Source organism: Homo sapiens, chromosome 2, assembly GCF_000001405.40.
Source record: "Homo sapiens chromosome 2, GRCh38.p14 Primary Assembly".
NCBI classification, from domain to species: Eukaryota; Metazoa; Chordata; class Mammalia; order Primates; family Hominidae; genus Homo; species Homo sapiens.
Window position 1 is genome coordinate 179,542,151 of NC_000002.12, and position 14,835 is coordinate 179,556,985.

A 14,835-nucleotide genomic window follows, 5' to 3' on the forward strand; every position below is an offset into this window, starting at 1 on the left:
GGGTGAGTTGGACACTAGAATGGAAATGTCTGTAGGAAAAGAATTAAGAGTAATTTAAATTGCAACTCACAGGGAAAAATCATAGGTCACCCAATGATCTCATAAATTTATTTCCTGCAAGATGATAGAGGGTGCCACTTGGAATGACTTAATATTTAATACACTACTAGAAGGGCTCCTGTTTGATAAATGCCACACATGTAATACAGGGAGAGTAAAATAATTATTTCATGTAGTTCTTTGTGGTATTCTTCACCTTAGCCAAATAGTATTTTTATTTGAAAATTATGTTTATACTCTTCCAAGAAGGAAAAAAAATGAACTTCTATTAATATAATTATTCTTTGGGTTTTCTCAAATATATCATAAGATTAATTGCTGTGTACAATTAATCAAACAAACCAAATGACATGTTAGTGCATCTGTACCCTCTATGCAACATGAACAAACCATTATGAAATTGTAATTTTATCTTTAAAAATCCTTTATGAAGGTATTCTCTCCATTTTTGTTTTACAGCTCTTCAAAACAGAGAGGCAGATGTAAGACATTTTGATAACAAAAAAAGTGACTAACAGATTAGTGCTAATCATATGATCGCAATTGTAAAAAAAAACTGTGACTGGGTACCTTTTAGGTATATGTATAACATACTTCCAGAAGGGGATTAGAAGGATGGATACCAGTTGCTGACCACCTTCCGCTAGTGAAGGAAGTAAAAGTATGTGCAGGGGTATGGAATATGACTTTCTAATTTTACCTCAAATGCTAAAGTTTTATTTGAATTTTTGGAGTAAGTATTCATGTATTATTTATGTTAAAAAAATAAATAAATAAAGAGGTCAGAGCAATGGCTCACATCTGTAACCCCAGCAGTTTGGGAGGCCGAGGAGGGTGAATCACCTGAGGCCAGGAGTCTGAGAACAGCCTGGCCAACATGGCGAAACCCTGTCTCTATTAAAAACACAAAAATTAGCCAGGTGTGGTGGCAGGCGCCTGTAATCCCAGCTACTCAGGAGGCTGAGACACAAGAATCACTTGAACCTGGAAGGTGGAGGCTGCAGTGAGCCAAGATCGTGCCATTTCACTACAGCCTGGGCGACAGAGCAAGGCTGTCTCAAATGAATAAATAAATAAAATAAAAAGTAAAAGAAAATAAAATAAAGAGAGGTGAGCCACAGTAAGCCATTTATGACTACTTGCATCATGAATGCTGCTTCCTGACAGCAACTAGACTTCAGCAATGGCTATAAATGCTAACTTCCAAAGGCACATTAATCAAAACACAAATACCTCATAAATGTTCTATGAAGTATAGCTTAATTCAGTTATGATTGGAATGTGTCACACATGTTTGAATAGAGGATACCACTGGCATCCTCAAGTTTGCATTCTTTGAAATGGCGTAATGTGGTGTTCTGGGATGCAGCGGGTGGATCAATGAAACCAAGGCAGGCATGATTTATCCTATTGAGCCACTCCACTGCTCTAGGAACAATGCTCGCCTTTTGTAACTTTTTTTTTTTTAACTGTTTGACTTGTCTCTGAAAAGCTCAAAGAAGACAAAAACATTTAACTGTTTACTCACTACATCAAGGCCAGTGCTCTGTAAAAAGCTGGCTGATGCCCTACCCCCTAATTACCTTCCAGCACTAAGCCCTGACAGAGGGCCTGTCAGCAGATTTTATTGACAATCCTTAAGGAAAAATCCTCTTGCTGTTTTCACTTCATACAGAAGATAGGTTTGCAAAATGAAACATTTGGCAGTACTTCAGATGCTTGCTGTCTGGTGGTGTTGATAATGCAATTTTTTTTTATTACAGCAGCATTTACAATGCTGTATCATTAATGTAGACTGTCATGCCCCAACTAACTGTATTTAACAATCAAGCAGACAATGTATGCATTCACCTGAACTGTGAACATTTTATTTTACTATAAGGTTTAGAATCTGGCTACAGATTGATTTTATGCTAAATTATATTGTTGAAAGATGTCATGCTCCACTTGACACACCTACAAATGTTTTTCATTCAAATAAAAGAAGGTCAGCTGAGCTGAAGCACATCAGTAATTATAGGTAATTCACTAACACTTATCCTATGTTTTAAAATGTCAAAGTGTCTTGCAGATCACTAGTATGTAGATTTAAAATGAGTGTTTTTCTTTTTCTTAATAGAGTCAAATTCACGTCATCTACAATAGCCCCCAAATAGAAATTTTGTTTGTGTAGGATTCACATTTTATCTAAAGTATCTCCCAAATAAAAATGCAGCCAGAGAGATAAATCCTACAGTCATTTTTTTTTTTCTAAGAGAAGGGAAAAATCAATGAGTCTTGGTATCTCTAAATTGTATTCCTGAGCATGTGAATAACATCCCAGAAATGATGTATGTTCTAAAGCCACTGGAAATTCTATGAAAATTGTGCAACACAACAGGTGAAAATTTTTCAGAAAATATTTTCTGTGGAAATATTTGTATAATAAACATACTGGCTATTGTTTGGGCTACTCCCATGGGTGAAGCATCATCTTTCATAGCACAACTGAGCAGCATAACCAATATATGGTCTAAAATTACACACTTTGGAAACAGGCTGTATCTATTGACTATTCACAAATGTAATGAAATTGATGGAGGAGGACACAAATAAAATAGAAATGAATTTACTCACTGTGTTAAAATTTGGAAAGAGCCCAACAGCAGAACTACTGTCCACTGGAAAAGACATAAATGGTTTGATATCCAGTGAAGGCTGCATCATCAGGGTAGGTGTGCGCACAAGAGCAGGAAGGGTAGTAGTGTGGCATGTACTGCCTGCCAAGAACAAAACAAAAATGAATTCAATTTCTTGCTCACATCCATCTCCCTCCCAAACCTACAGTGCAAGAACAAGTCTGTTGAGCTGCAACTTGCAAGCAAGAGAGTTATGCTGTAAGTAAGCAAATGGCACAGGAGTAGTAAACACAATAAAAAGGATCTTCCTCCTCATTATCCAAGACAGTGGTGCACAATGCTTCCCTATGGGCAAGGGCTGAGGGGTGCTCAGATTCAGCCAGGACACCTAGTAGACAGATCCTACTGGCAGGAGGGTCAGACAGAATGAGAATGTCCTGTTGGCCAACGCTTTGCCTCTGACTCGCCAAAAGTGCAGGAGAGAAGAGGGGAGGAACCCCTTGAAGCCAGACACTCTTTGCTATTAAGAATTACTGAATGGCTAGTGGACAGGTTTTATGCAAATCAGAGATAAATATAGGGTTTTTACAAGAAAAAGAAAACTTGAACCTGTATAGTTACTGTCTGCTCTCAAAGTTATGATTCAACTTGTTCTCTTAAAAAAAAAACAAACTTTCTGAAAGTTGCTCTTACTTTGAAGTAAATGGGTAGTCTAGACATTGGATAGTTAAAGACTAAAAGGGTTGATTATGGCTTGGCTTCAGACAGGGTGTTGGGGGACAGGTAGTAGTTAGGACAGGGATTCAAATTTTTGTTTTCAACTTTTTATTTCTAATTTGTTTTGTATTATTGTAGCAAATATCCTTTTTAGCAGTTAAATTAACTGTCACCTCTATTTGTTTTGTTGACTATTTTTAAATTTTGTTTTAACTTTTGTGGGCACATAATAGGTACCTACATTTATGAGGCACACAAGATATTTTCATACAGGCACACAATGCATAATAATCACCTCAGGGTAAATGAAGTATCCATCCCCTCAAGCATTTATCCTTTCTCTGCATTACAAACAATCCAATTATACTCTTTTAGTTATTTTGAAATGCACAGTAAGTTATTGTTGACTATAGTCAGCTTGTTGTGCTATCAAATACTAGATCTTATCCATTCTAACTATATTTTTATTTTTTTAATTTTAATTTAACTTTATTATTACTATTTTTAAAGACAAGGTCTCACTCTGTCACCCAGGCTGGAGTGCAGTGGTGTGATCATGGTTCACTGTAGCCCCGACCTCCCTGGGCTCTGGTGAGCCCCCAACTTCAGTCTTCCAAGTAGCTGGGACTACAGGTACATGCCACCACACCTGGCTAATTTTTGTATTTTTTGTAGAGATGGGGTTTTTGCCACATTGCCCACGCTGGTCTCGAACTCCTAGGCTCAAGCAACCCATCAGTCTCGACCTCCCAAAGTGCTGGAATTACAGGTGTGAGCCACCACACCCAGCCTCTAACTATATTTTTGTACCTATTAACCATTCTCACTCCCCTGCCCTCTTCCCATCCTCTAGTAATCATCATTCTATTCTCTGTGTCCAGTTCAATTGTTTTAATTTTTAGCTCCACAAATAAGTGGGAACATGTGAAGTTTGTCTTTCTGTGCCTGGCTTATTTCACTTAACATAACGTCCTCTAGTTTCATCCATGTTGTTACAAATGCCAGGATCTCATTCTTTTTATGGCTGAATAGTACTCTACTGTATATATGTAACTCATTTTCTTTTTCCATTCATCTGTTGATGGACACTTAGTTTGCTTCCAAATCTTGGCTATTGTGAATAGTGTTGCTATAAACTTGGGAGTGCAGATATGTGTTCGATATACTGATTTTCTTTCTTTGGGGTATATACCCACCTAGCAGTGGGATTGTTGGGTCATATGGTAGCCCAACTTTTAGTTTTTTGAGGAATAACCAAACTGTTTTCCTTAGTGGCTGTGTTAATTTACCTTTCCACCAACAGTGGAGGAGGGTTCCTCTTTCTCCACATCCTTGCCAACATTTGTTATTCTGTCTTTTGAATAAAAGCCATTTTAACTGGGGTGAGATGATATCTCATTATAGTTTTGATTTGTCTGTTTTTGAAGATCAATAATGATTGAACACATTTTCATATACCTGTTTGCCATTTGTATGTCTTCTTTTGAGAAATGTCTTTTCCGATCTTTTGCCCATTTTTTATTCAGGTTTTTAAAATAGACTTGTTTGAGCTCCTTATAGAGTCTGGTTATAATCCCATATCAGATGGATAGTTTGCAAATATTTTCTCCCATTCTGTGGGTTGCCTCTTCACTTTGTTGACTGTTTTCATTGCTGTGCAGAAGCTTTGTAACTTGTGATCTCATTTGTCCATTTTTGCTTTCCTTGCCTGTGCTTGGAGGGTATTACTCAAGAAATTTTTGCCCACTCCAATATCCTGGAGAATTTCCCCAATTTTTTCACATAGTAGTTTCATAGTTTGAGGTCATAGATTTAAGTCTTTAATACATTTTGATTTTATTTTTGTATATGGTGACAGATAGGGGTCTACTTTCATTCTTCTGCATATGGATATTCAGTTTTCCCAGCACCATTTATTGAAGAGACTGTCCTTTCCTCTATGTATATTTTTGACACCTTTGTCAAAAATGAGTTCACTGTAGATGTACAGCTTTATTTCTGGGTTCTCTATTCTGTTCCATTGGTCTATGTGTCTGTTTTTATGCCAGTACCATGATGTTTTGGTTACTATAGCTCTGCAGAATAATTCGAAGTCAGGTAATGTGATTCCTCCAGTTTTGTTCTTTTTGTTTAGAATAGCTTTGGCTATTCTGGATCCTTTGTGCTTCCATATACATTTTAGGATAGTCTGTTCTATGTCTGTGAAGAATGTTGTCATTGGTATTTTGATAGGGATTGCATTGAATCTGTAGATTGCTTTGGGTAGTATGGACATTTTAACAATATTGATTCTTCCAATCCATGAACATGGAATATTCTTCCATTTCCTTGTGTGTGTCCTCTTCAATTTCTTTCATCAATGTTTCATAGTTTTCATTGTAGAGATTTTTTACTTCTTTGGTTAAATTAATTCCTAGGCATTTAATTTTAGTTATAGCTATTATAAATAGGATTACCTTCTTGATTTCTTTTTCAGATTGTTTGCTGTTGGTACATAGAAATGCTACTGATTTTTGTATGTTGATTTTGTATCCTGTAACTTTACTAATTTTGTTTATCAGTTCTAGTTCTTTGGTGGAATCTTCAGTTTTTTCCAAATATAAGATGATACCATCTGCAAATAATGATAATTTGACTTTTTCCTTTCCAATCTGATGCCCTTTATTTCTTTCTCTTGTCTAAATACTCTGGCTAGAACTTCTGCTATCACCTCTTTAGATATCTGGTTTAATGCATGAGTAGAAGATTTATAATGCTCCTCTCCAGTAACAAGCATCCTTCTTTAGTGTATAACTTTCATGTAGTATAGAAAAGTAACTGCTGGTGCAGGTAGCTCTCTGGTAGGCAGACTCTGGCATGTAAGGTTTGTTTGTTTGTTTGTTTGTTTTAATATAACAACTTTATTGAGGTATAACTCATATACCAGACAATTCATCTGAATTGTAGAATTCAATTATTTTTAGCATATTAACAGAGTTGTTATATTATTCCATTTTCATACTGCTATGAAGAAATACCTGAGACTGTGTAATTTATAAAGAAAAAGAGGTTTAATGGACTCACAGTTCTACATGGCTGGAGAGGCCTCACAACCATAGTGGAAGGCAAAGGAGGAGCAAAGACATGTCTCACATGGTGGCAGGCAAGAGAGTGTGTGCAGGGAAACTGCCTTTTATGAAACCATCAGATCTCATGAGACTTATTCACTATCACAAGAACAGCACGGGAAAAACCTGCCCCCATGATTCAATTACCTCCCACCAGGTCTCTTCCATGACATGTGGGGATTGTGGGAGCTATAATTCAAGATGAGGTTTGGGCTAAACCAAATCAATTGTAGAACCATCACCACAATCAATTTTAGAACATTTTCATGACATCTAAGGGAAACTTATCCGTTAGCAGTCACTCCCCATTTCCTCCTAATATCCCTAGCTCCTGGCAACCACTAATCTATTTTCTTTATCTTTAGGTTTCTCTATTCTAGACATTTCATTTAAATGAAATCATATAATGTGTGATGTGGTCTTTTGTGACTCACTTCTTTCATCTGACATAATGTTTTTGAGGTTTATCTATGTTGTAGCACGTATCAGAATTTCATTCATTTTTAAGGCTTAATAATATTCCATTGTATGGATTTCCCAAATTTTGCTTATCCATTCATCAATTGATAGGCATTTGAATTACTCCCACTATTTTGCTATTATAAACAATGCTACTTTGAATATTCATGTACAAGTTCTTATGTGGATATATGTTTTCAGTTCTTTCAGGTATATACTTAGGTGTCAAATTTTGGAAATTGTTTGGTCATCTGATAACTAAATGGCTTAATATTTTGAGGAAGTGGCAGGCTGTTTTCCAAAGGGTCTGAAACATTTTACATGATTACTATCAGTGTAGGAGGGTTCCAATTTTTCCTGGCCTGCCTATACAGGACCACACAATAATTATATACCTAACATCCCCTATTGACTTCAAGGAGAAATGAACAGTATGAGATAATGCTCCAACTATTAAAATTTCCACCAATGTTTTACACAGTTTCCCAGACTCATTAAAATTTCTATTTCAATGATCCTTTTTGGTAATGAATTTTCTTAATAAACTCTGCATCATATTTCAAATCGTTCCAGAACATTATTGGCAATAGTGTTTAATGGACTGTCATACTTCATTTACATTGATCCTAAAAACAGAAGAGAAAAAAGAGAGAAGGGTGCCTGAAGCATTTATCTGTAATGGCAAGTCTTCAGGTCAGCCCCATCCATTAGGGAAGACAGAGTAGCATTCAGCAAAAATAGAACCAGCCAAAAGTATAGATTGAGAGTAATTTTTTTTTTTCTGATGCTCAAGTAAATACTCTGATCTCAGCCTGTCATTCATATAACCACCCTGTATTTAATTACACATTACTCTTCAAATTAGGTAATGTTAACTTCAGTGCTTGTAGATCTAAGATGATGTATTATATAAATATATCAAATGTTGCAGGGGCACTTATTAAAATATTTTAAAAGTTTTGCTTTAAACTCTTAGCTAAATTAAAAAACAGAGATATTTCTTATGTTAGCCCAATGGCCTATTTTATTATTACTATAATCATTAAAAGTCTAAAGTAAGGTATAGACTAATTGTACTTAAAGCTGAATGATAAACAAATGTGTAATTATTTTGCCATTGTGAGTCTCCTGGAGGGAAGCAAAGTTCTTTCTCTAAGCCCACAATGGTGGCTCTGATAATACTGTGTAATACATGGCTCCCTAGGGCCTGGTGAGAGTCACTTTGTAATAACAAACCCAAATCAAATAGAATGCAACAGGGAACTTCACAAACAGATTACTCCATCAACAAAGGTTGGAATGCGCAATGATCCCCCTTACCCAATCAAATCTCTATGCTAATAAAGACAAGGCTTGAGAACTACTTAGCTGCCACTACTCATTAGCATAAAAAACTTAGCAGCTGTTTACCATTTCATTAGCATTTTAATGACAGACAATTTGCCATGTTAAACACAGATTGTTTTAAAGTACTGGTAGATCTTCTGAATAAATATAAACTATACTTTCATTAATCCTTCACCTCAACCTTGCTGTTTTCAATTTTAAAACCTACTTTTTAATACTGCTTCACCAGGACTTATTGCTTGTTTTTGCAAATGGTAAATAAATAGGGACAAAGTGCATTTTTTTGAACAAGTTATTTCATGCTCTGATCTCTCTGTCTTCATATTTCAGATTTTGCTGCTGCTGCTGCTGCTGCTAAGAATCCTTTCTTCTCACCTCTGGGTGCCTGAAAGTCAGCAGGAGTTACAAGCGGAAATTTGGCCAAAATGCATTGCACTCTGAAAGAAAATGCTTAATTTCTCTAAAAGTGAAGGACTTGCTGAGAAAAAAATGTTGAAAATATAATGAGCAGGCATTTCAATGCAAAAGGTGATACAATATACCCATTACGTTGCTATTCTCATGGGACAGAACCAACCTTTGACTTTTGTATAAACTATCTGGCAATATTACGTAAGACACCTCCTATTTGTAGTTCTGTTTCAGAACATAGTATATAATCTGGTATATATCATAATGAATAAAGTCATAATGAATAAAATCAAAATAGGGTGCCGCCCTATTTGATAATAAAACTTTTCATGTCACTGAATGCATATATTTATCAAACTTCCTGTACTAAAATGAAATACACATATATAAGCAGGCATACTCCAAAAATTTAACAGGAATAATTTAACACTCTTGAGACAGGAGTAATACAAGGTGGTCACAGGAGAATAGAAAATTCCAGACAGCAGTTTCACATGTTTAGCAGAAGAAAACTGTTGAAATAGCTGCATAAGGTAGGGGCTGATAAGACCCTGAAAAACGAAGGTGTGGGCCAAGCTGGCTAAGACTAACTGGACCCAACATGGCACTGGATTTGACCTAGGTTTCACCTAAGATCTCATTATACTCTCATTAACATACTAAATCACACACCCACCAGTGTAATGACAGTTCTGAGACCACCCATATTGGGTGTAAAAATGGGTAGCACACAGTTCCAAGAAATCTTCATATCTTTCCAGGAATCTTCATGAATATCCCACCACTTGATTAAAGATACCCATAAATATAGAAACTCCAAACCCTGTGGTGTGACTCACTTCTCTTGAGTATGCCCACAATCCCCTTCCTTAAGTGTGTACTTTTCACTTTGCAATAAATCTGTACTTTCACTCTATCCCAATTTGTCCTTGAATTCCTTCTCACAACAGCATCGAGAGTCTGGACACCAGACAGAGTCCAGGTCTCACAGGCATTTGGGGATCTCCTTTAGTCCACCAGTTTCACTCTTATCATGGAAATTCCATGTATTCATATGAATATGAATTCCCATTAGAATGTAATTAAATTTCTTGCATACATTTCACTTTGATGGTAAAATACAAGTTGATTCATCTATAGCTATGAAACCAATAATATGTAAAAGACAATTTCCTAATATGATCATAAGAAAACTATTATTTCAGCCAACTGCCTCTGTAACATAATAGGTACCTTATTATGTTAATGGATTATGTCATAATACATCACAATACAACCTTACTTAAGGACAGATGACACCTGAAATTATTGCCTTAGTCTTTGGCCTTTAGATATATAATCTTAAAAGCCCATTTAGATTATAACTTTGAGACTTCCTAGTGGCTCTTCTTTATATGCCAAAACAGAAGCAAAGAAAACACCTCATTCTTCAAAAGAGTATGCCAGAGTCAACAAATATGCATGAAGAAGCATTTGCAGAATGAGATCAAATCTGTATATATTCTATATCCTGCAGGAGTAGTTTCTTCTTATGCCATTATTATGCATGTTCCCATCAGTGAGTACTGAAATTAAAAACTTAACGTATTATAAAAACCTGTTAGGGGAGGCAACATCAATTATAGAACTCCAAAAGATTTCTTTAAAGAAATTTAAATGAGTGGCATTTCAGATTTTCTGCCATACTCAGTTTTCTTTTTTCATTGCTTTCCCAGCTTTGTTACACCTAATACTGTATATTTTTTCTCTCATCAGGATAATTGCCATCACCGCATCTCCTCCACTTCTCTCAGCATTTCTTTTCTTTCATAAATCTGCTAGGTGAAGAAAATAATTTACCAAGAGACTATCAAAGCATGGCCACTAAGAGGTGGCTATATGAATAGGGGAGGTGACTGATAAAGGATTTTGCCTTTGAAAAGGTCTCATAATAGCAATAACAGAGATAACATTTTTATAGAACATACTATGTAACAGGCACTATCCTAAGTTCATTACAATTGTAGGTATATATACTCATTTACATATACTCATATATATACTTATACATATTTAGTCCTTGCAATCTGATTAACAAGGTATTAGCCCCATTTTACAGATGAGAAACTGAGGCACAGAGAGATTAAGCCCAACTTCATATAGTTTGTATGTAGAGGAGCCAGAATTACAACCCAGGCTATTTGACTTCTGAATTCTGCTTTTCACTACCATGCTATGGTCACCAAATTGTATAGGTGAAAACATTCCAGTCATATAGATACATTCTCCAGCTGAGGGAGAAGCATTTTACCATAAACCTGAGAGATTTAAAATACTGGACCTCCAAACAGATATAGTATTCAACTGGGAATTAGTTGAAACTTATTTGACCTTAGTGTAGTATCTGATACTTAAATAACCAAGATATATAATGAATATATTTATCTAAAAAGAATCTTCCCCAAATAATAGTATTATTTGATTCAATAAATACTTATGAGGGACTAACAAGGCACAGTGCTAGCAATGACAGGGATTATGAACTGTGTCAGAACTTATTTTACTTTTTAAGATAAGAAAATAATAATAACAACTGCTACCATTTAATGAGATTTTACTGCATGCCAGGTAACGTGCTAAGTGATTTATGTCCCTTATTCTTATTAAATTATAATGCAACTCTATGATATTTATATTATTATTCCCATTTTACAGATGAGAAAGGTGAGGTTTAGAGTGATTAAAATCACTCAGTATGTGGCAGAGCCTGGGTCCAAACTCCTGTCCATCTGACTTTAAAGCCCATGTCATCATTCCCTAAAGTAGGTTATATGTAAAGCTGTTACATGAAAAAGATTCTGTCATCAAATACATTTAGAAAATGTTGCTTCAACAAAGCTTAAAGCGGTTCTTTTCTGCAACGCATCTTAGAGTTTTTAATATACTAACAGGCACTGTGGACATCTAGGCAGAAAAAATTTCTTCCCTCAATTTTTTTAGCATAGAATCAAGCCTTAAATTTTTTTTTAAATTAAGATGACACAGGCAACACTGTTCTACACCTGTTAAAAGCACCAACTCAGCAGACAGATATGTTAGAAGCTGAAGACTCCTGGGAGCACTGCTTTCTTGTGCAACCTTGGACAAGTTATTTTACTTATTTATACCTCCACTGTCTTTTCTATAATTAAGAAAAATAAGAGTAGCTATATCATAGGATGGGTGGGAAAACTAACTGAGGTTTTTCTATGCAAATTTCCTCAACCTGTGCCTGATACATAGCCAGTATTGTATAAGCTTCAGTTACTGTGGTTACTAACTACTCCTAATCCTTGACACTATGCCATATCCCAGGAGAGCATGAATAATTAAATCTATTAATACTTACCATAAACGGCAGGGGTCATGTGTTATCAAAAAAATGTTAAGTAGGTTCAAGAGAGAAAGAAATTGCATCTGGTTCATAAATGGGGTTCATAAATGTTTCGACAGATGAGATATCTCTTAAGATAAACTTTGAGGAATGGCTTGTGTTTGAGGGGTATATATGGAAGAATGGTGGAGCGGAACTGTATAAACAAAAAGTATAGAGAAAACAGAACATGTTGAGGTTAACTTTTTTTAGGCTTTCAAGGTATTCTTAGGGTTTCTGGATTAAAAGGTAAAACCGAAAATAGAAAAACAGAGTATCTTTGTGACCTTGGACTAAGCGAAGGTCTCTTAAACAGGAAACAAAAGATGTTAATCATAAAAGAAAAAAATTGATGAATATATTCTATTAGTAAGAATGTAGAACTCCTACAGATCAATAAGAAAATGATAACACTAGATAAATGGGCAAAAGAGTTGGATACTTCACAAAAGCATATATTAAAATGGCCAATAAACATACAAAAACGGTGCTTAACTTCATTAGTAGTTAGGAATATGTGAATTACAACTACAATGAGGTATCACTACATATCCACAAGAATGGTTCAATTTGATGAAGAAAGATGAAGATAATATTAAGTGTCGACAAGGATACAGAGCAACTAGAACTCTATATTAAAGTGTAAATTGTCACAGCTACTTTGAAAAACTACCTGGCAATATCTATTTAAGCTGAATATATAAATACCCTATGACCCAGAAATTTCACTTCTAGGTATATAACTAACAAAAATGATTTGTGCTAGAATGCTTATGGCAATATTCTTCATAATAGCCTCAAACTGGAAACTAGCCAGTTAATCTATCAACAATAGAAAGAATAATTTTTGTATGTTTGCATGATGAAACATTCATGCAATGACATACAGCAATGAGAACAAATGGCACATTCTTACATGCAACAACCAATAGATCTTGCAAGCATAACGTTGAAGAAAAGAACTAAAATAAAGGAGTACATGCTGTATGATACCATTTATATAAAGCGTAAAACCAGGCAAAGTAATTTATTCTGTTAGGATAGTGGCTTTCCTTATAGAAAGGATGGGATGAGGTGGAGGGTGAGAGGACTAAAACAGGGCATTCAGAGTGTCTTCTAGGATGCCAGAAATGTTCTTTCCTTGATCTGGGGGGCCAGCTACACATGTATGCTATATTTGTGTACATTCATTCAACTGCACACTTATGTGCACTTTTCTGTATGTTATAAATGAGCAGAATTTTTAAAAAATGCAGTCAATGCTATTAATTCTAATAAAATGTTTTGACAAATATAGGCAAAATTTCCCAATAAGAATATCTTCAAATACTGTCAAGTTTGTATAATTTTAGGATGACAATGATGCTTTTTGAGTTCTTTTTTTTCTACTGCCAGCTTGATTTTGCTCAAAATGATTTGTGAGCAAATAAAATTTCTCTTTAATGCTGATGCTTCCTTGCTGAATTTAGGAAGTGAATAGGGGAGACTAACACAGACTCTAGTGATGCCAAAGAGAAAAATGTATATCTAGAACTCTGAGTCTATAAAATCTAACAATTGGCAGTTACGTGCCTGAATTTCCCTTAGGGAAGCTCAGGGTTCTCCCTAAAGAGCTCCGACAGCAGCCACCATGGCAGCAGCCTGGCAGAATGTTACATTTAAAAATAAATCCTTTTGAGCACTGCACTGAAGTTGATAAGCAATAATGAAGTGCTGCATCAAAAAACATCAAAGAAGCCGCATCAGGAGGGATTTAAAGCCACAATGTCCTTTGGGTTTTGTAGTAATACACCAGCTTTTACACAAAACGATGAATCTTTCACCGAGATGCAACAGATGGCTTTTCAGATGCTGTGGCAATAGAATATGTACAGCCAAGTGGTGATTCATTTATACCTGAATATCTTGCCCACTTGGATTTCTTACATTTAAGTGTTGTTAAAAAAAATGGATAAGATTTATTTGCTATACTGTACAAACTATAGTTTCGTCAAACATGTGACATACTTCACTGGCTGCAATCCTTTTTCAAAGCAGCGTTGAAAAGTATGAGAATTTAAGAATTTAAATAAATTTATGGGGTTAAAACTGAATTTAAAATATTTTTCCTTTATCGTAGTTTCTCAGCTTATAACCCAATAGTATTAAGCATGATCATGCAAAAAAAGGAAATTGAAAGAAGAAAAAACGGTATTCTAACAAATGCTTTCTCAAGTTTTCTGCAATAATTTTTAAACACCTGACTTATCAAAAGGGAATGTCATGTGCTTAGTTTCTAAATTACTAAGTCTTTGGAGAAGCCAAAATTATCTCCAGACAGGGCTTTACTAAAATTGTCTGAGGTCGAGAACGGATTGGGAGGTCACAGCGCCTGATGAAATTTACTGGCAAAAAGACCTGGGGCGATGGTCCTGAGCTACATTTGCCTGGTGACTCTCCTCAATGGCATTAAGACCCTTTCTTGAAGTCTGAAGCCTCTTTCTATTACAAACAGAGGAACTACGTGTTGTCTCTGATGCTGATGCTTCTTTGCTGAATTTAGGAGGTGAATAGGGGAGACTAACACAGACTCTAGTGATGCCAAAAAGAAAAATGTATATCTAGAACTCTGAGTCTATAAAATCCAACAATTGGCAGTTATGATGGCAGTCTATAGCATGCTAAAGACCTAACGGCAGTGCAGAACTATCATTTATTTTGGAAACCTCCCTAAAAAATACAACTT

At 35.5% G+C, this 14,835-nt stretch overlaps 1 protein-coding gene across 21 annotated transcripts in view; it reads right to left on the minus strand.

The window, feature by feature from the left end:
- The window catches only part of ZNF385B (zinc finger protein 385B), a 419,631-nt gene that overhangs the window by 100,169 nt on the left and 304,627 nt on the right, over positions 1 to 14,835 (minus strand). For 17 of the 21 annotated variants that reach the window (NR_148054.2, NR_148056.2, NR_148058.2 and 14 more), the window contains one exon: positions 2,677 to 2,819. The exons of the other annotated variants lie outside the window; for them this stretch is intronic. Coding sequence is in view for 12 of the 17 variants with exons in the window: in NM_152520.6 (NP_689733.4) it covers positions 2,677 to 2,819 (143 nt within the window). In the remaining 5 variants the exon portion in view is untranslated. The remainder of the gene's footprint in view (positions 1 to 2,676; positions 2,820 to 14,835) is intronic. 21 annotated transcript variants of the gene reach the window in all.